At 39.9% G+C, this 22888-nt stretch overlaps 1 protein-coding gene across 2 annotated transcripts in view; it reads left to right on the plus strand.

The window, feature by feature from the left end:
- RTL4 (retrotransposon Gag like 4) overlaps window positions 1-21691 on the plus strand; it is a 374502-nt gene extending 352811 nt beyond the window's left edge. For both annotated transcript variants that reach the window (NM_001004308.3, NM_001395362.2), the window contains one exon: window positions 18677-21691. In NM_001004308.3, coding sequence (NP_001004308.2) covers window positions 18906-19838 — 933 coding nt within the window. In that variant the 5' untranslated portion in view covers window positions 18677-18905 and the 3' untranslated portion in view covers window positions 19839-21691. The remainder of the gene's footprint in view (window positions 1-18676) is intronic.
- Window positions 21692-22888: the final 1197 nt, after the last annotated feature.

Raw genomic sequence — 22888 nt, forward strand, 5'->3', positions numbered from 1 at the left:
ATACATGCATGCTTTACTTCTCCCTTCTGTTCCTTTAAGAAAAATATTTATCAGATGGTCATGTTCAAACTTCACAGTTTTGCTTATTGATTGATTCTAAATGCCATACTAGGCCCAGCGCGGTAGCTCACACCTCTAATTCTAGCATTCCGGGAGGCCGAGGCGGGCAGATCACCTGAGGTCAGGAGTTCGAGACCTGTCTGACCAACATGGTGAAACCCCCTCTCTACCTAAAATACAAAAATTAGCCTGGCATGGTGGTGTATGCCTGTAATCCCAGCTACTCAGGAGGTGGAGGCAGTAGGATTGCTTGAACCTGGGTGATGGAGGTTACAGTGAGCCGAGATCGTGCCACTGCACTCCAGTCTGGACAACAGAGACTCCATCTCAAACATAACAAAACAAAAAAAAAAAACTACCATACTAGAGGTTTCTTCCTAACGAACTTTGTTTCATTTCTCCTTTATCAAACCTAAGGATTTTTAATAAGAAAATGTAAAAGTGGAGTTGAATGGGTAGGATGGAGAAGGCATAGACACTTGGGGAAAAAACTTCAAACTCCTTCTTACAATAAAAAAAAAATCAATAATTTAAAGTTCCAGCGCCTCGCCTTCTGAGCTGTTGGTGTGGGAGTTCAAAACTAAATCATGTTATTTTAGGAAAAATCAATAGATCTCATAAAATTACCAGTCTCTTTATGAACAGAAAACAATGTTTCTGAAAGCAAATATGATTTATTCTTTTATACATGTGTATTTGCACAAATCGATAGGAGATATGAATAACCAGAACATTCCATGGCAGCCCCTGATAAATCACTTTTTCTCCAATTATGAGAGAAGGACATTTTTTTTTTTTGTATCATGGAACTTTCGGAGTAAATTTCTACTGGCTTCTCCAGCGCCCCAGATGTGAGAACTATAACCCAAAGCCTGTTGTTCACCATAACTTTCAGTCTGACTCTTCAGTCTGCTAAACACAAAACAGTCCTTAAACATTAATTCTGCTGGCTGGAGGAGTTCCTTACCAACCAGAAAAAGTCAGTAGTCACCCAGGAGCCTCAGTGGCAGTCACAGGATAGCCTGTGAAATGAGAAACACTGGGCTGGTGTTTAGGGCATTTTGGCTCCGTGATGGAGGATACTTTATCCTTTGGATTTGCCATCTGTAAAATAGGAACAACCAGTGTCTTTCATATACCAATGATAGTAAATGGAGATGATGAACACATTTGCAGAAAAGCCTCCAAATTTATTAAATTGAAACATACAGGCCTTATTCCTTCTGGGCCATTAGCTTCTACCTACTTTCCTGTCTCAGTCACGACTTGGCAGACAATAGATGGAAAAGATGAAGAGGGAATAAGTTAGGAGCTCAAGGGAATCTACCAATTAAGAAGCTGATGCTTCTATCAACACCAGCATATTTTTGACCAGATCATCTCTACAAGACAGTCCAGCATAATTAGTTAAGAATATAGAGCTTTTCTTAGCTAGACAAGAAGAATAAATTTGATTTTTAGATCAATTGCACATCATGGTGAATATAGCTAATAATTTAGTTCTGTACATTTCAATATCACTAAGATAAATTTCTAATTTTCTCATCACAAAAATGTTAAATATTTGAGGTGATGGATGTTAATTAGTTTAATTTAATCTTTCTATATTGTATTTGAAAATTGTAACACTACTTTGTACCCAATATATATATATATACAACAACAGTTTGTCAATATATAATAAAAATAGTTTAAAAAAGAATGTAGGGCTTTGAGTCAAATAGACTTGGGTTTGAATCTCATGGAGGGATCTGCAGCAAGCCACTAACCTTTCAGAATCATTTTCTCCCTCTGTAAAATGAGGATAAGAATGATCTTATTCGATTGTTTTCATGATTACATGAAATTTCAGATGTAAAAGAAATACAGTATTAGGCCCAAAATAAACACTCTGTAAGTCATGGTAGTGGTGGTGGTGATGGTGGTGGTGGTGGTGGTGGTGGTGGTGGTGGTGGTGGTGGTGGTGGTGGTGGTAGAGGTTGTTATGTCTTGCCTCTTTTTTGACATCCATATCCATCAGATGTTTGGTTTCTTTTAGCGCTGTTGTAGGTGGGCTTAGTGTCCATTTTGTAAGCTGGTACAAAATGCCATGGGTCTTCAGCAGTTAGGTGCCCATTTTGGTCATTTTTTAAAGATGACTTCTGTCTTTGTAAAACTTCTACTCATCTTTTACTGTGTGTGGAGGGGAGGTAAAACAACAACCAACATTTGTTTTCTCACATAGTTTCTGTGGGTAAAAGATTCAGGAGTGGCTTAGCTGGGTGGTTCTAGCTCAGGGTCTCTAATGAGGCTGTAGTCAAAATATCATCTGTGGCTGTAGTCATCTGATGGCTTGACTGAGGCCAGGGATTCACTTCTAAGATGGCTTCCTCCCATGGTAGGCAAGTTGATGCTGGCTATTGTCAGGAGGCCTTGGCTCCTTACCCTGTGGACCTCTCCATAAGGCTGCTTGAGTATCCTGATGCATTGCAGCTGGCTCCAATGAACTTCGAGGCAACAGTACTACAGTTCCCAGCATGGCTTTCTTCCCACCACTGCTCTCCTCTGCCCCCACTTCTAGACTCTCCCAGACTGAGACTTGTAGTTCTAGCCCATGGGTGGCAGCAGTGGCATGGAAGCATTCCTGAAATCTGCTTTTCCTTGATCGTACGCAGTGAGACTGCAAGTTCCAACTCAAGTCCTACTCTGACCCACTAGGGTTTGCCCTGCTCAGAATCACTTTCCCTTCTCCAGGGGAACAAACTCTTCTTCCAGTACTCCCTATACCTCAGATCTCCCCTGTCCTACTCATCTCTATGAAGACAAGTTTATTTTAGGTCATGATTCTGGATCCTAGAGATTTTTCAGGTGGTCAATAAATAGATTTATTTTAAGTCACGATTAGTTGGTTGTCATACTAATTACCCAGAGCTTTAAGCAAAAGTTCCTTCCTAATATGCACATGAGACCAGAGGAGCCATTCAACTAAGCTGAATTGAGAGCTTGTTTTATGCCACTCATCCTTAACTAAGTGATAAGGCCTGTAATAGGGAGTGTTAAACTCGGAAGCCCTAACCCAGCAAAGTTCAGTCACTTCGAAAATCGTCGAAGCTAGTAAGCTTTAAAATAATAAACTCTGGGGGAAACCAATGTCTTTATGTAGTCCAGAAGCAGGGAAGTAAACATACTAGCTTTCTCCAGTTCCTCATAGCTCTATTTCCTTATGGCCATCACCAGTAGGCCTCAACTCCACCAGTTCTTGAGCCAGCACTCATAAGGTCGTGAGGGCTTTTGGCAGATTAACTCCTCATCTACATGACTATCAGAGGTAGGGTATATGGGGAGCTGGAACACAGTCTTGCTGCCAGAAAATTCCATATCAATGGTGACAGTAATGGCCAATTTTCAGCATTCCTCTATCTTCTGCAGTAATGGCCAACCCTGAGTTACTCAAAATCATGACTTATACCACTGTTGATATGTGAACTCTCAGTCCTCACTCTCTCTGAGGCTTGGAGTTGGATGTAATAAAGAGTTTAGAGTTTTACTCCTTTCTCCTTGAATTACACAGAGTCCATCACTTGCCCTCTCTGAGTCTTAAACATCTTCCTGGAATGACCTAGAAACAAGAGGACTTTATGTTTTGAGATGATACTACCCACATGCTAGATACTTCTCCCATGATTTTTGTAAAGAAAAATCTGCCAATACCCCTTGGTATAGTTTGGATATTTGTCCCTTCCAAATCTCATGTTGATCCCCAATGTTGGAGGTGGAGCCTGGTTGGAAGGTGTTAGGTCATGGGGATGGATTCCTCATGAACATCTTCATGTTGCCCTCTGGATAATGAGTGACTTCTTGCTCTGTTAGTTCCTGTGAGATCTAATTGTTAAAAAGAGTCTGGCACCTCTGTCCTCTCTCTCTTGCTCTCTCTCTTTCCATGTGACATGCTGGCTCCCCTTCTCTTTCTGCCATGATTGGAAGCTTCCTGGGGCCCTCATCAGATGTAAATGCTTACACCATGCTTCTTGTACAGTTTGCAGAACCATGAGCCAAATAAACTTTTCTTTTTAGAAATTACCCAGCCCGAGGCATTCCTATATAGCAACACAAATGGACTAAAACACACCTGGAAAAGATATTTGCAAATGAGAATGATTAAAAGCCATTTGGACAGAAAAAAAGATGGAAGAAAGAGGAACACAAATGTCCTCTATAAGGTTGCTACTACGGGTGACAAATACATTTGAGGATGCCTAGCTCAATGCACTGCCTCCACTATAAAGTCAACTCAAACCCATTTGATGGCTGGTTCTTTAGCCATCCCTAGAGATATTGATTCCATTTTTTATTCACTTATAATGCAAGTTAAATGAACATTTCCTTGATGCAATTCCATTCTGTTTCCTTCTTGGATTATTTTTTATGAAGGAGATCAGATGGCTTGGGAACAAGTTTCTCTGGCGCAGCTCTGCAGGGCCTCCCTGCAGACTGAATCTCTGAGGCCTGGTGGCAGGTCACAACCAGTTTTCTTTGTGATGATACATCCTTGCAGAAGACAGGAAGACTTGACAGCCTGACAGACACTTAAAGTGTGAAGATGAATAAAAGATACATCACTCCTGATGGGTATATTTTAAAAAGCTGTCAGTTGATGTAAGCAGTATTCTAAAAACATACAGTACCATATCAGGGCTAGAGGGTGTTGGATACAAAAATGGGTTGGCAGATGGACAATTTTTGATAGTCAGGTCTATGCGGATGTGAAAACCAAGCTGAGAAGAAGTTTGTTAGTCCTCATCTGTTGCCCTGCTTTGCAAATCATATTTAGGAGCTTTGCTTTCTGTCTCTTTGATTTCTTTTTAAGGCCTACATTATTAGCCAGTAGGTAGACTAGATGATTTAGCTGCTATATCTAATATGAGTGGTGACAGGCATGAAATTCTAGCCAAAACATCTTATTCACTGATTGTTGCTTTGCCTGAAATTTCACCATTACACCTTCTTATTTGGGAAATGTACTGCAACTCAGAAACTCTGGGAAAGGAAAATCTTCAAATTACTTTAATGGGGATTGATTTCCAGACATTTGTTGTACTAAAGCATTAGGAATTGGAGGTCAGCCAGAAGTCAGGTGAAAGGGCAGAGAACAGAAAGGAAAAGTCAGAAGTCACAAAATTTTGATATTATGAGCTTCACATTCTCATAGAAACATTTGAGCACATGCAACCAGAATTTATCTGGTGCATGAATCTGCTTTGAAACATTCCCATGAAGCGTTAATCCAATCTCTGTTTGAATACCTCCAGTAATAGGAACCTCTTTTTTTTAATGAAGAAACTCATTCTATTGTTAGGCAGTTCTAAAATTAGAAGGTTCTATATTGTAGGATTCCCAAATATGCTACCTTGCAGCTTCCATACTACTAATGTTTGCTTTTCATGGAATTAGACTGCCTCCTTTTACCCATGAAGGCTCTCTGATATGTAAAGACAGCTTTCCTGATCCCTACCCCCGATTAAGCTTTTCCTACCATTTCTTAAAATATTTTTCAAAAGACAGCGGGATAGAGATTATAGTGAGCAGCCAATAGGGGAGAGAGCAAATGGCTCATGGCCCTTCAAGAGCATCTGTGACAACACACACAAATAAATTTTAAATGACTTAAAATGCCACATGTTGGCAAGGGTGTATGATTATAACACTCATACACTGCTGGTGAGAATGCAAAAGGGTAAAGCCACTTTGGGAAACAGTTTGCAGTATCTTATAAAGTTAAGCACAGACTTACCTCATCACCCACTCCTAGATATCTAAACAAAGATAAATGATTGTGGTAATTATTTCACAATGTATATGTATGTCAAAATATCATGATGTACACCTTAAATATATACAATTTTATTTGTCAATCATATCTTAGTAAAGCTAGAGGAAAAAAGAAAATTTATGTAGACATGCAGACTTGTACAAATGCAGCTTTATTTGTAATGGCCTCACACTGGAAATAACTCAGCTGTCCATCAGCAAGTAAAACAAGAGGTGGTATATCCATACAATTGAATATTTTTGGCAACAAAAAGAAATGAAGTACTGAGACATGCCACAACATGGATAAACCTTAAAAACATACTAAGTGAAAGAAGCCAGACACAAAAGCCCAAATATTATATGATTCCCTTTATATAAGATGCCTAGAAAAGGCAGATCAATGTGAACAAAAAGTAGATTAGTGGTTGCCTGGGGCTGGGTGTGGAGGTACTTACTGCAAAGGAACATGATAAAATTTGGGGAGTAGTGAAAGAGTCTATATCTTGAATGTGGTGTCGGTCACCCAGATGTATACATTTGTCAAAAACTCATTGCTGTACATTTACATTTCTTTTTTTTTTTTTTGAGATGGAGTCTTGCTCTGTTGTCTAGGATGGAGTGCAGTGGCACAGTCTCGGCTCACTGCAACCTCCACCGCCTGAGTTCAAGTGATTCTCCCATCTCAGCCTCACGAGTAGCTAGGATTACAGGTGCCCACCACCACATCCAGTTAATTTTTGTATTTTTTTTTTTTTAGTATAGATGGAGTTTCACCATGTTGGCCAGGCTGGTCTCCAACTCCTGGTCTCAAGTGATCTACCCGCCTCAGCCTCCCATAGTGCTGGGATTACTGGCATGAGCCACTGTGCCTGGCCTCTTTGCTGTACATTTCAAATGAATGAATTTTATTGTATGTAAAGTATACCACCAATAAAATAGGATTTTAAAAGCTAATGTTCTGCACAGAGTCATGTCCCATTGCAACCCCAGCTATTGTTTTGACACCCCAAGTGCCAATGACAATAGCATCCTGAATACAGAGGTCATCAAAGACACAGAAACACAAGAAGGGAGGAAGAGCTAAATCTTATTTTTTTAATAATTTTTTATTTTTTATATTTGTGGGTATATAGTAGGTGTACATATTTATGGGATACATGAGATGTACTGCATAATAAACACATCATGGAACATGGGGTATCCCTCCCCTCAAGCCTTTATCCTTTGTGTTACAAACAATGCAATTATACTCTTTTAGTTATTTTTAAATGTACAATTAAATTATTATTGACTTACAGTCACACCGTGTGCTATCAAATATTATTTATTCTAACTTATTCATTTATTCTAACTACTCTTTTATACTCATTACCATCCTCACCTCCACCAACAACACCCAACCCCACCCTGCTACCCTTCCCAAACTCTGGTAACCATCCTTCTACTCTCTATCTCTGCAGATTCAATTGTTTTGATTTTTATATCCAACAAATAGGTAAGAACGTGAGATGTTTGTCTTTCTGTGCCTGGCTTATTTCACTTAACATAATGACCTCCAGTTCATCCATGTTGTTGCAAATGACTGAATTTCATCATTTTTTATTGCTGAATAGTACTCCATTGTGTATAAGTACCACATTTTCTTTATCTAGTCCTCTGTTCATGGACACTTAGCTTGCTTCCAATTCTTGGCTATTGTGAACAGAGCTACAACAAACATGGGAGTGCAGATATCTCCTCCTCCTTATACTGATTCTTTTTCTTTTGGGTATATACCCAGCAGTGAGATTGCTGAATCATATGGTAGCTCAATTTTTAGTTTCTTGAAGAACCCCCAAGCTGTTCTCCACAGTGGTTGTACTAATTTACAATCCCATCAACAGTGCACAAGGTTCCCTTTCCTCCATATCTTCACCAACATTTGTTATTGCACGATTTTTTTAGTATAAGCCATTTTAACTCACATGAAATGATATCTCATTGTAGTTTTGATTTGCATTTCTCTGATGATCAATGATGTTGAGCACCTTTTCACATGTTTATTTTTCATTTGTATGTCTTCTTTTAAGAGACATCTATTCGAATCTTTTGCCTATTTTTAAATCAGATTATTAGATTTTTTTCGTAGAGTTGTTGGAGCTCCTTATATATTCTTGTTATTAATTGCTTGTCAAATGGGTAGTTTGCAAATATTTTATTTATCCCATTCTGTGGGTTGTCTCTCCAGTTCGTTGATTGTATCCTTTGCTGTGCAGAAGCTTTTTAGCTTAATGTGATCCACACTTGTCCATTTTTGCTTCGGTCGCCTATGCTTGTGGAGTATTACTCAATAAATTTTTGCCCAGTCCAATGTCCTAAAGAGTCTCCACAATGTTTTCTTTTAGTGGTTTCATAGTTTGAGGTCTTAGATTTAAGTCTTTAATCCATTTTTATTTAATTTTTATATATGGAGAGAGATAGGAGTCTAGTTTCATTATTCTGCATATGAATATCCAGGTTTCCCAGCACCATTTATTTAAGAGACTATTTTTTTCCCCAGTGTATGTTCCTGGCACATTTGTGAAAAATGAACTCACTGTAGGTGTGTGGATTTGTTTCTGGTTTCTCTATTCTGTTCCATTGGCCAACGTTTCTGTTTTTATGCCAGTACCATGCTATATTGGTTACTATAGCTCTGTAGCATAATTTGAAGTTGGGTAATGTAATTCCTCAATTTTTGTTCTTTTTGCTCAGGATAGCCTTGGCTATTCTGGGTCTTTTGTGGTTTCATGTAAAATTTAGGATTACTATTTCCATTTCTATGAAGAATGTCATTGGTATTTTGATGGGGATTGCATTGAATCTATACATTGCTTTGGGTAGTATGGACATTTGGAAGTATTACATCCTCCTTTCTTTTCTGGAATAGTTTGAGTACACTTAATATTACTTCTTCTTTAAATGTTTGGTTTAAATTCAGCAGTAAAGTCATTGAGTTCTAGGCTTTTCTTTATTGGGAGAATTTTTATTATGGCTTTGATTTCATTGCTTGTTATTGGTTTGTTCAGGTTTTGGATTTCTTCATAGGTTGTATGTGTCTACAAATTTTTCCATTTCTTCTATATTTTCCAATTTATTGACAGATAGTTGTTCATAGTAGGAAATAATGTTCCTTTGAATTTCCACGATATCAGTTGTAATGTCTCCTTTTTCATTTCTGATTTTATTTATTTAGGTATTCTCTCTTTTTTTCTTAGTTTCACTAAAGGTTTATCTATTTTGTTTAACTTTTCAAAAAACCAACTTTTGGTTTTATTGATGTTTTGTATTGTTGTTTTCTTCATTTCAATTTAATTTACTTGAGCTAAGCCTTATTGAAAATATGAACTATTAGCAAGATGAGAGAAGGAGACATGGCCTTGCTGAAATCTGGGGCTCAGGACAGAAGGGCTTTACAAAGGGGTCATTTTGAGTCTATTATAAGCAAAGGTATTAAGTATGGTGACTGTTTCCTCACCTGTGACGGGTGTGAAGGGAGCTGTTTACTTGTCACCTACAAATTGTCTTTCCCTGCAATATCTGTACTTAGAATTCCAACAGAGTTATCTGTCCTTCTAACAATAGTTCTTCCGTTTACTTTCCTTTTTGCTGTAGACAAATTTTAAGCAACTCAAGAGACATGTTCCTTGAAAAGCTTTTTGTTTTTGTTCCAACTGAACCTGTTTCAAACTAGAGTTGTTAGCCCTTTGAGGAGAGACTTGCTGGAAGTTTCACATCTACTCTTATTTGTTCTTCCCAAACTTATAAGAAAGTTATGATTATTAATAGTTATTTTGTAGGTGAGAAAATTAAGGTATGTGAGGTTAAAAAACTTGGCCAAGTTCTTATGGATCTAATGTTCTAAATAAGAACTTAAATCCAGATCTGACTCCAGATCATAGGACTGTAATCAACACATTCTTATATCTCGGACTAATAAAATGACAGCTATTGTTTGTTAAATAGCTGCAATGAGCCAGGTACTGAGATAAGGAGTTTCCATATGTTGCTTCAGCTTCAGTAATTCCAGAATATCCATGCTCAGTGAGGGCTCATTATTGTTTCCCAGTGCTCAAAAAAGTGTCTAACATAAAACAGATATTCAATAAAAATTTATTATATAAATAAATGAACAACCTTCTGTGGTGAATATTATTGGCCACATTTTATGGATAAAGAAAATAAAGCTTGTGAAGGTTAACTTGCCTCAGGTTACACAGCTAGCAACTAGCAGAGCTCAAAGCTCTACCAACCTGTATCTGTCCCAATGTCAAGGGGTTGAGAAATGTCAGACAATGAAAAGGAAGAGTTCTAATAGTAACGGTGCAGAAGGAAGGTTGCAGCAGCTGCTGCTATTTGGGCTGCTAGAGAAGCCCACCCATTCCTACTTTGTCTTTTTACACTCCCCAGAATCTGCTCTGTTTTTCAAACTTGTGGGCCAGTTATGCATAGGGCACAACACATGAGATGTAGGTAATTATTCTGTCTTCATTAAGGGTGGTTGAAAATACCATTATCTTTAGACAATTGTTATCTGGATTATTTTGCATTTGTTTTATTCTAAATTCTTCTAGATAATATTGACATAGGCCCTGGGCTAATTTGAAACTGTTTGAAGAGGAGAGTAGCCACAAACTAAATGACCCATTCATCCAAACAGAACACATTCTCAAGGGTCTCCAAGGCTACTGTTTCTCACTATTCTGGCTAAACCCACTGAAGTCCACAGCTTGGACATCTGCCTCCTGAGCATTTTTCCCACTGCCACCAGTCTTGTTCTATATTTCTATCTGGTTAACTTGGGCATCTGTAATATGAAAACATACTGAGGTACACTGGAGCAGGGCTGGGTTTTCCATTTACATCAAGGAATAGGCCGGGCTCAGTGGTTCATACCTGTAATCCCAGCATTTTGGGAAGCCAAGGCGAGTGGATCACTTGAGGCCAGGAGTTTGAGACCAGCCTGGCCAACATGGCAAAACTCCATCTCTACTAAAAATACAAAAATTAGCCCAGCATGGTGGTGCATGCCTGTAATCCCAGCTACTTGGGAGGCTGAGGCAGGAGAATTACTTGAACCCGGGAAGCGAAGGTTACAGTGAGTCAAGATCGCTCCATTGCACTTCACCTAGGCAACAGAGTGAGACTCCATCTCCAAAATTAAAAAAAGGAATAATAAAAGAAGAGATAGTGAATGGGGAACAGTAAAACCACCTCTGCTAAAATCTAGTTCTAACTATGGCTGTTATGGACAGATCGTATAAATTCGAGAAAGAATCTCTGAGTGCCTCTATGTATAAGGAAGTAAGCTAGTGCTAGGCCCTGGGAATACAGAAATAAATAATTCCCATATTTAAATATTTCCATATTGAATTAATAGGGACAACAGGACTGCAATAACTAATTGCAAGTGATATGAGAGTGCAAAGGAGAAACACTAGAGCAAGTAATATGCTAAGTGGCTTAGTTTAAGTCACTTGCTCCATACCAACAAATTCAGGTAGAATCACCTTCCCCAGAAAAACATGGTTTCTCAGATAGAAACTGGAGCTACTGACAAAGATGTTTGGTAGGCAACCTTCCAGTGGCTCTAGAAAATAGTGGCTTCTATTGTTGATATCTGCTGGATGCCAGGAAATTTACATATATTATCTCAACTATGTGTAAATACATATAGTGTCTTGCAACACAGATGTGAAAACTAAGTCTCAGAGAAGTAATTCACCCAAGGTCTCATAGGTTGGAATTTGAATCTAGACTGGGATTTTAATCCAACATCCGTCTAACTCCGAAGCCCATGAGTTTTTTCTACTGTTTGAAACTATTTCCAGAACATAGTGGTGTTAGCATCAAATGTGGAGAATTCTAGTCCCAAATTTAATACTAAGTAACTGTATGTCCTTAGACAACTCTTTTTTTATCTTCTGGGAGGGAGTGTTGAATACATGCCTTGCCTATATCACATTTTATTAAAAGGATACATGGAACAGTAGGAAAATATTCAGATCACATGAAATGCTCTGCACATGTGTGGAATGTTACCAATTATTAAGTGACATTATAAGGTTGCTTCTGCCCCATACTCTATAATGCCTGTATTCCTCATTCACTCATAGTCAAGACTTAGAGAGGAGAGAAAGGCTAAGAGTTTCAGGTTGGAACATTAATACAGAGAGTCTTAAACATGGCCCAAATAACTTTTATTTCCTGAGCCTCAGATTCTTCATCTGTAAATCTGAAAGAGGATTCTCATAGTCAAAAAACATGATGTATCCTAAGTTGCTTATATTAAGCTTTCTCCACCTTGACCAGGGGCACAGATTGCCTGTGTACCACAGGGACCTGGAAATCCAAAAAAAAGTTTGAATATAAGTAGGCTAGGTTCTGTCATCTCATCAGTTGCAAGTGGTGTTCAGCAGTAAGTGAACTGCACTTAATGAATTAAAGACGAAAGAGACAGGAGGGAGCATGAAGGCAGGAAAAGACCTTTTATTTCAAATTTATGGGCTGATTATATGACAATTTGGAATCTGCAGATCAAAATTTTTCCACTCTTTCTGTAATTGTTTACTTGAAACAGCATGTACTCTTTGAAACGATGGTCACATTGGGAATGGACAGAGAAACCAAACTAAGCCCTCATATTGGTAAACCACCATTGCTGTATCTTAACCATTGAGTCTACTCCAGGAACAGGAACAGAGGGATGATGAGCATAGTGGGTAAGATTAAGGTTGGCTGTGGGTCTGAGGGTCATATTCCAGATTGCAGAAAACCAGCAGCCAGTTTCTCACCTGCTTTTTAGCTGTGTGCTCAGGCAAGTTATAGAATCTATGGGTTTGAAAGGACCAGATTCTCTTCATGATGCTCCCTCTTCTCTGATTCTTGGAGCCCCCTACTCCAACTCCCAACTAGGTGGTAATCCTAGCTCTGCTTATTCCCCAGTGATATAGAACTGGTAACTTACTTCATGGAGAGACTCGTCCCATCCCCATCCCCATCCTCCCAACTGCATCTTTGGATAGCTTCTTCCTTGTCTCTGAGAACAATGAGAGTCCTTTGGAGCCAGTTATTTACATACCAAGCTTCCCTTCCTCTTTCACTTGACTTAATATCTCAGTGTTTTGTTTTCTGAACTGGAAAATTGCAGTAAAGATGGGATGAAATGATGAATATAAGGTGGGTTTTTTGAGATTTAAATCTCTGTACACACAGACCATGAAGCCCATGGGCAGAAAGGGTGATGGATCAAGTGTGGTTCCTTAATAGAATTAAGTATGTTAAAAAGGAAAACTGGGGAAATGTAACAGGAAATTCTATTGAGAGTGTTCATGACACTTTTAACTTCATAAGAAGCTAGGCCATGGGTCCAGCTGAGCCAGAAGGAAGATTGAAGCTTAAAGGAAGTTCTGAGGTCTGAGACATAGCAATGGCCAAATTGACCCTCAGCTGGGCTGCTCCAGCTCTGACAGGGATATGGGGATGGCTTTTTAATCTCATTCCCAGGCAGAGAAGAAGAGAGTGGTGCATACTTTCCAGAAGGACCCACAGAGCCCTAAGAGCAGATTCAGCTCAATTGCTACCCTCTCTCTTGCCCCTAAGCCAGCTGCATGTGATGTGCCTGAGACAGCCTGCACCAGTCCACTGTTTACAGGGGCCTATGGAGGCTCAGATAAAGCCATGAAAAGAAGCAATGCACATATCATGCACCTTAGGGGCTCCTGTTGGAGCCAAATATTTTCTACTTTCAAAAATGTAGATAATGAAACAGAAAGGACCTTTTGAGGGTATTCAACCTAGAATTTCTTGAAAGTGTCATCAAGGGAACTTTTACTGCATCATCTGCAGAGATTGATTAAAATGGAGATCAAATTCAGACCCACTGAATCACACTTTCCAGGAGTGAGCCCAAGAATCTGCATGTTAAAATCCCAGGGGATTCTGATGTACCCTGAAATTTGAGAACCTCTGAGAAATGTTGGTGCTCTGAGTGGTCAGTCACCCGATATTCACAAGGTAAAATCTGAAGGCCTCTTACTTCAATATCATCTGGAGGGATGATTGATAGTCAATGTTGGGGTCTCCTGCTAACCCTCTTGAATCAGAATTTTGTATGTGTGCTAAAGTTTGGGAAGCCCGATGCCTTCATTGTACAAGTAAGGAAACAAGCCCAGAGAGAGCGAGTGACTTGCCCATGTGGCCATTGATCTGAATGGTGGCAGAGCTAGGCCCACACTGAGGTCTCCAGACAAATCCAAACAGTTTGCCCTTCTGGTCACCCCTTGAGAGTTATTTATGTCTCAATTTAGCTTCTGTGGCCACAGCATTCCTCAGAAAGTTTGGAGATCAAGAGTAAAATATACAACTGCTCTGGGTAGTTGCATGACTTTAGGTCAAAGCTCCTCTTCCAAGGGATTATGTAGAACAGTTTGAAATTAAAGCAGTGTAAAGTCAAAAAGCTCTCTTATAAGCAGCAGGGTACTGCTGACTCTTCTCCAAATGGGATCTCAAGGGACTCCAGAGTAAAGTAGTTTTATGTTCGAGGAAACTGTTAACTATGGCTTTGAGCCAGACCAAATACAAACACTAAAATGACCTGTAATAATTTACCAAACCCATTTTTTGTTTTTGTAGTTGAAACACATACCTAGTAAATAAAAGCTTAAATGTATGCAGTTGTGTTAGACCTTGTCCGAGCTCACAAGTCTGATCCCTCAAGCCTGTGTATTTCAGGTTTTGGCTCTATCTCTGCTTTTTCTCTTCAAGGCTGTGGTCTGAAACACCTCTGAACTGGCAAGCTTTGTCCCAGGATCCTCTGGGGCAATACAATATAAGGCCACTGACCTTTAAAGGAGAACAATTTCCAAAATGAAGAGGCAAGGTAGATTTTTTTTTTGGAGGGATTAAGCAATTGCCACTGACAACAGTGTCATTGTATGATTTGCATTTGGACTAATGCTTATAATCTTAGCAAGTGTTTCACCAGTGCTACATAATTAGGAAAATTGAATGCTGTGCCACCTTGAATACATAATTCTGTAAAGAAACAGAACTCAACAGAGATTCTGGAACTTCTGAGAGTGGAGGAAAGAGAAGGCAAGGAAAGGAAGGAAAATTTAAAATCTCACATTTCCAATCAAAGGACATTGTTATAATAATGTAAAGGTCCGTGTAATCTCTTATCTCAATTGTGAAATCATAAACCTCTGTAAAATGGAAGCAATTTTTTTTCATTAATTTGGTGCCAAAACTCATTTGACAGCAAAACTTGACCTGAATTGTCATGCACTTAGTCTTTATCCTTTTTAGTATGACTATTCAGACATTTTTTTTCCCTACAGGAATGTTAATGGCTTAATTATGGGATGTTTCCCAGACATTGCTGAAGGTATTATGTAATAAGCAGTAGATACTCCATGTTACCTTTCTAAAAACCTGAAAAAATTTAAATTCTAAAACACAGTCAGATAACAGCTTGCGGACCTACAATAATAATAGCTAACATTTATGGATGCTGAGTGCAGTGACTCACACCTGTAATCCCAGCATTTTGGGAGGCCAAAGTGGGTGAATTTGGGAAGGTGGATTGCTTGAGCCCAGGAGTTCAAGACCAGCTTGGGCAACATGTTGAAACCTCACCTCCAAACAACAACAAAAAATAGCCAGGCGAGGTGGTATGTGCCTGTAGTCCTAGCTACCAGGGAGGCTGGGGTGGGAAGATTACCAGAGCCTGAAAGATCGAGGCTGCAATGAACTGTGAACATGCCACTGCACTTCAGCCTAGGCAATAGAGTGAGGTTCTGTCTCAAAAAAAAAATGTATGGAGAACTTGCTATGTGTATGAAGCCATGCTAATCTCTCTTCATCTCATTTAATTTTCATAACATTATGAGGCAGGTATTATAATCATGTCTATTTTAAAATTTGGAAACTGATTCTCAAAGAGGCTAAATAACTTGCTCAGAATCACACAGTTCATAGATCAAACCAAGTCGCTTTGAGTTTAGAAGTGACATCCTTACCTGTTGAATTCTACCACGTGGGAGAGATGAGCAGTAGTGAAGGACAATGTGGGCTCTTTGTGTGCTTTATGTGGAGGTAGAATAGTGTACCACCCATTTTATGTTATTTGAGAGCCAATCTTCTACCTGCAAATATGTGCCCTCCCCATCCCTACTTCTCTGTGATATTGCTAATAATGTTTTATTCTTTGAGATTTATCTGGACAGTGTTTTGCACAAGAGCCACCGGCATCAGAAATCAACAGGCCAGCTTGTTAAAATACAGATTCCTGGGATTCATCCCAGACTTATTGAATCAGAATTGCTAGGGATTGGGTCTGAGTTGATTCTTATGACATTAAAGCTGGAGTGAACAGCAAATGCCCTGGGAAAGACCTTTTTTTTTTTTTTTTTTGTAGACAGAATCTCACTCTGTCACCCAGGCTGTAATGCAGTGGAATGGTCTTGGCTCACTGCAACCTCTGCCTGCCAGGTTCAAGCGATTCTCCTGCCCCAGACTCCCGAGTAGCTGGGACTACAGGCACGTGCCACCACGCGCAGCTAATTTTTTTTTTTTTTTTTTTTTTTTTAGTAGAGATGAGGTTTCACCATGTTAGCCAAGATGGTCTTGATCTCCTGACTTCATGATCCACCCACCTCGGCCTCCCAAAGTGCTGGGATTACAGGCGTGAGCCACCATGCCCTGCCTGGAAAGGCCAATCATTAACCCTTATTGAAGAACATCTTAGCTATCAGTTGACACCTAGCTGGAATGGCAGTAATGAACTCATTGATGGACATCTGGGAAGTGGTAGATGTCTGGAAGACAGATCAGGAAATTAGAAGGGTGAGATATGGAAAGGAAGAAAAAAAGGAGGGTATGATAGTATCTCCCTACTTTGACAATATGTGATAAAGGCAGAGCCTCTCCACCGGGCATTTTTCATCTACATTGGAAATATTTTGGAAGTAAATCTTTCATTTTTTGCCACTCAGAGCACCAATCTGTTATCTCATTGATATAACCACCTTCTGAGGTAAGTAAAATAGTAATCCTGGCCAGGTGCGGTGGCTCACACCTGTAATCCCAGCACTTCGGGAGACCGAGGCAGGCGGATCACCTGAGGTCAGGAGTTTGAGACCAGCCTGGCCAACATGGTGAAACTGTGTCTCTACTAAAAATACGAGAATTAGCCGGGCATGGTGGCAGGCGCCTATAATCTCAGCTACTTGGGAGGCTGAGGCAGGAGAATCGCTTGAACCCGGCAGGCGGAGGTTGCAGTGAGCTGAGATTGCACCATTGCACTCCAGCCTGGGGGACAAGAGCGAGACTCTGTCTCAAAAAAAAAAAAAGTAATCCTCATTAGGTAAAAAAGGAAACCGAGACCTAAATGAGTTCTTCAGGATCATCCAACTGATTAATGCTGGTGGTTGGATTCATGTTTCTGGCCTCCAATCTTATACTATTTGTCTTCCAATAATTTTTTCATAGGTCTAGAGAAAATGAGCCATCAAATAAAACCTAGGGAAATCAAGTCTTACATTTAAAAAGATTCAATGATACATCATTTTTTCCCACCAGTGGACAATTTAAATATATTTAAATAGCATGCTACACAAGGAAAGGGCAATGAGAGGAATTGAAGTGCAGAATAGTTCAACTGCTATGCCATATGTTTGGGGTTGTTTTTAACTTTTACTGGTTGCTTTATTTTTGTTATCAATGCTGGAAAGACTGCTGAACATTTTGATCTTTTTAATTTTAAGAATATTCAGTTCTTGTTTGCTAGATTCTCAACCTTACCTCTTAGTCTTGCCTGTGATATCTTAATCATTTCCATGGCAAGAAATTGTGACCTCAGACAGGGACTAGAAAGATAGAAAACATGGATTAACTGCCATCACAGGAATCATATCCCCACAGCAATGCAGGCTAGTCTTGGGGCACTTATGGTCAAGTCCAACCAGTGATTATTCCAATTCAAACTAAGTGCTCTTTAGAGCAGCATTTCTCAAACTTTAACACATATTCTAGTCACCTTGGGAATCTTATTAAAGTGTGAAAAATGATTTAGTAGTTCTGGGGTGAGACCCAAGATTCTGCATTTCTAACAACCTTTCTGGTAGTGCCAATGCCATTTGTTCACAGATCACATTCTGAGGAGCCAGGTGCACGAACCATCATCATGTCCAAGCAGTATATGCAAATGAGCACATTTACGGTCTTGGGGGAAGTGCCATTTGGACAACAACCCTGATGAGCATGCCAGCTGTGATATTAACTATCTGTGTGACCTTGGGAAAACATCTTTACCTCTCTGGGTCTCTGTTTTCTTATTTGCAAAATTATGAATTTGGCCTGGATAATCACCTGAGATCACTTTGGGTTTTCAAATTCTTTGACTCTCTGATGGAAAAAAGATACTTTAGAACAGGGATGTCTAATCTTTTGGCTTCCATGGGCCACATTGGAAGAAGAAGAATTGTCTTGGGCCACACATAAAATACACTAACACTAATGATACGTAATGAGCTTAAAAAAACAATCACAAAAAATCTCATAATGTTTTAAGAAAGTTTACAAATTTGTGTTGGGCTGCATTCAAAGCCATCCTGGGCTGCATGTGGCCCACCAGCCACAGGTTGACCAAGCTTGCTTTAGAACAAAGGTTTAGTCAGAGGGCAAATTGCCCTTATATTACAAGGAAAAGGAGGGAGGAGAGAAAGGTACTGTGACTGTTGTATATATCTTCTTAATCCCAAGTCCTTTATGTGTTCTAAGGTAACTTATTTCTTCCAAATTGCAGACCATTGGCCTTTTCCATGAAGAAGAGGCAACATTGAGTGGCGGACAACACTTTTTGGCATCTCTCCAATTCAGCTGTTAGCATCTCCTAGTGTCTTCTTCACAGCTAACAGCTTTGGCTACTTGCTCATGACACTCCGTCTCTGATCACAGAGCAAATCCACTGTCTCCATTGGTTTCCAGTACTAGTACTCAATTCTACTCAATCCCACCTGATTCCAGGAGACATAATGGAGAAGTGCACGAAATCATCATCTACCATGCAGGTAGAGCCTTCCTTTCTTCAGGCAGAGAATCTGATTCTGCGGCTTCAAATGCAGCATCCAACCACGGAGAACACTGCTAAAAGGGGCCAAGTCATGCCTGCCCTGGCCACCACAGTGATGCCTGTACCATACTCACTTGAGCATCTCACCCAGTTTCATGGTGACCCTGCCAATTGCTCAGAGTTCCTCACTCAGGTGACTACCTACTTGACAGCTCTCCAAATCTCTAATCCTGCAAATGATGCCCAGATCAAACTCTTTTTTGATTACCTATCTCAGCAGTTAGAAAGTTGTGGGATCATATCTGGGCCTGACAAGAGTACCTTACTGAAGCAATATGAGAATCTTATTCTTGAGTTCCAGCAGTCATTTGGTAAACCCACAAAACAGGAAATCAATCCTCTGATGAATGCTAAGTTTGACAAAGGAGACAACTCCTCTCAGCAGGACCCTGCTACTTTCCACCTCCTCGCTCAAAATCTGATCTGTAATGAAACCAATCAGAGTGGTCAGTTCGAAAAGGCACTAGCTGATCCCAACCAGGATGAAGAGAGTGTCACTGATATGATGGACAATCTTCCAGACCTGATCACTCAGTGCATTCAGTTGGACAAGAAACATAGTGACAGGCCAGAGCTCCTACAGTCAGAGACCCAGCTCCCATTGTTGGCTTCCTTGATCCAACACCAAGCCCTCTTTAGCCCCACAGATCCACCACCCAAGAAAGGGCCTATACAGCTGCGAGAAGGCCAGCTGCCTCTCACCCCAGCCAAACGAGCCCGCCAGCAAGAAACTCAGTTGTGCCTCTACTGCAGCCAATCTGGTCACTTCACAAGAGATTGCCTTGCCAAACGTTCTCGAGCTCCGGCAACGACAAATAACACAGCTCACCAGTAAGAGGAGACCAGGAAAGTCACTTTTTAAACTTACATCCCAGCCTTACTGATTTATAACCTGCATTAACTTTTAAAATACAGATGGGGAACTGTGACACCACTTTATAGGCAGTTATGAACTGACACGCTTTGGGGGAATTTAAACAATCAGATCTTGTTCATTGGCAAATTACCCCTCACGAAACCTAACCCGAGAATGATGAAAACAATTCACAGGCACTTTCTGCAGTTGGGATTAATTCTCCAAGAGCACCAAAAACCTGCAGGCAAAACTTTGCCCAGTCTGAGCCAATGAAAATAACCGTGGAAGCACATTGGGAACCTTATCCTGACCAATGGGTGACATCTGGGTTGAGTTTGTGTCCCAAATCCTGAATCTTGTGTGCCTAGAAATGAGCCCAAGACTTTTACCTTCACCTTTATTGGTCTGTATCCTAGTTTCCTGTTGGCTTAGGACCTTTGGCTGAAGTCCAAATGACATTCCTATAATCTGCTTATATTCTCCTCCTAGAGTTTGGACCATGCTTCACCTATTGACTACGATCTACCTTCAGCATAAATCAACCTTCCTGGAACCACAGCTCTGCCACCCTTCCATAGAGCTATATGTTTTGTTTCCATCTAAAGACTCATGCTTTCCCAACAAACAGAACCTCCTGGCTATTTACAAACCAGATTGAATGGGCATTTGAATACTGCTTGGAACTGTTGGTCCCTTTTTCTTTGCAGGCTAGCCCATCAGGCAGGTGTATGCTTTTAGCCAAGCCCACCAATTCCAACTTATTCCTCTCTTCTCCAACAACCCTACTTGAGGTTCCAGCATGTCTTATAGCCAAGTCAATATGCTCTAGGATAAGGATTTCTGAAAGGTATTTAGTGAGAGTTGGGGATGGTGTGTCATAATTACTGTATCTGTAGCATGTCCTTGCTGCCTTGGACAAGGGACCTGGCCAAATAAATCTCCACTGAAGACTGACAGCCAGACCCTGCAGTAGTTTCTAACTCTAGAAGCCTCAATGTAGTCACCATCTAGGATTACTACTCATTGCTATTGAGCTCTACCTTTATGGACCACCTCTGAAGTCCTTCATCTAATTGAGGATCTTAAAAAACAATGAATGGCAAAAAACTTCCTACACTATCTCATCTGAAAAATCCTGGGGCACATACATTAAAACCATTTGTGCACAAAACTCAGGAAGTCGGGATTTTATTGCTTATGTTTTACTCTTGGTACACACCAGCTTTGTGTAGATTCCTGATGCTTCTGAACAAAAGTAGTGTTATGCTAGAAAGGCAAAACTCCCTAAAATGTTAAAACTGTTCAGCAATGATCACTGCTGGTAATTACCAGCCCTCTGTTCCCTGCTTCTTGTTTCTGATGTATGTCCCCAAAATGGATATCCTGGAGAAATATCAGTAATCACATATTCCCTAGCAACCATCAAGGCCTCTCAGAACATGAAATCCCATTGTACTTTGGCTTTGTTTCTGGAGAATTATGCTAACTTTGACAATACTTAAACCTAACTAGGACCTTACTACTCTGATTCTGTAGCACCAATAAATAGATATTTTCACCTTGTGCCTTGCTAGCCACTGTAACAATTCTTATTTGCATTCACGAATGGTTTCTTTTAACAACGGCTCGCTGCACAACCACATTACTCTATATGCTCCCACAACAGAGACCTGAGTTAACATATTCCAGTTATGCTAAGAAATTCCGACTATAGTACTGGGATTGTATGAGATCCTCTAACAAGTAGAGCTATTGAACGTAGAGTGACTCTGAAATTACCTGGAAGTATCTTGTTCTACCTCCATCAATTCTATAATAAAGGACTAACCTCATGGCCTCTAGTCACTTTCCTTACCAAACCCAGTATGGTCTTGGAATGCTGATAGGAGCATTCAGTTGGCTTAATCAACAATCTTTCCTTATTTTAGGGCCACAATTCATCATTTTGGGTTCTTTCCCAAAGATATATCATTTTATTCCCTGTTTGGATTTTCTCTTTGCAGCAACATTACCTTCTTTCCTTAGAAATCTTCAAACTTAGCCTCTCAGAAAATATAACCAATCCAGGGCTATGAACTTCAGTTCACCCTCCACTTCTGGGGGTCCCTTGTTGAGGTGCTCCAAATCAAAGACCTCTTGTACACTGTGCAATACAATCCAGCAGCCAGACTGAGCATATGAATGGGATGCTGGAATAATGCTTTACTGCCTACTAGCTAGCAAGCATTTTACCAATTCAAAATTTTTGTTATAGTGACACCATCCATTATATGCCATCCACTTCAACTAGAATGACTCATGATTTAGCATAAAGAGAGTTACAAGGGTGTGTCCTAAGAAATCATAGCTATGTGAATTTCTCTGAGAGTGAAACTACTTAGAATCTACAGAGAACAGATGAGATATAACCTACTCAAAGATGGAATCAGCAACTGCAAAGGCTTGGGGAACCACCAGATTCAAACAAGGTTGTAGCTTTAAGGAAGCAGATCTGCTACATATTGATGCCCCAAGCAAGATAGAATCTAATCATTTAATGATAAGTCTGAAGAATAATTTGTCAACAAGAAAATAGTATTCATGGAGCACAGAAAAGCAAGAAGTTAAACAGAACGTTGGTAATCCCCCTAGATTCAGAGGTGAGTTGTTGACCAGCAGACTGTTTGGCGTGTCCACCCCTGCAATGGCCATCCCAATTTGTGTCAGCCATCTGGTCACCTAACTCCATTGCTCTGATTCCATGCTCTCAAAGTAACTTGATTGTAATTAGTTTCCCTTATAAACTTTGTTAGGGAGAGAAAATTTGCTAACCAGCTGACATGCGTGTTCTAGCCTATTTCAGAGTTAATTCTTATTATAATTGAATAAATTGGTGTTTGGCTTATACATCAGTTTTTGTGGGTTTAAATAGTACCAGTCCTCCTGATTCTAATTACCTCTGAGTACACTGAAAAAAATAAGATTCTCACTCTGCAAAGTCAGCACCATAGTGTGAATCATAGCGAGTCTACTGAACATTGGCCTCCTTG

Source organism: Homo sapiens, chromosome X, assembly GCF_000001405.40.
Source record: "Homo sapiens chromosome X, GRCh38.p14 Primary Assembly".
In the NCBI taxonomy this organism is placed as follows: domain Eukaryota; kingdom Metazoa; phylum Chordata; class Mammalia; order Primates; family Hominidae; genus Homo; species Homo sapiens.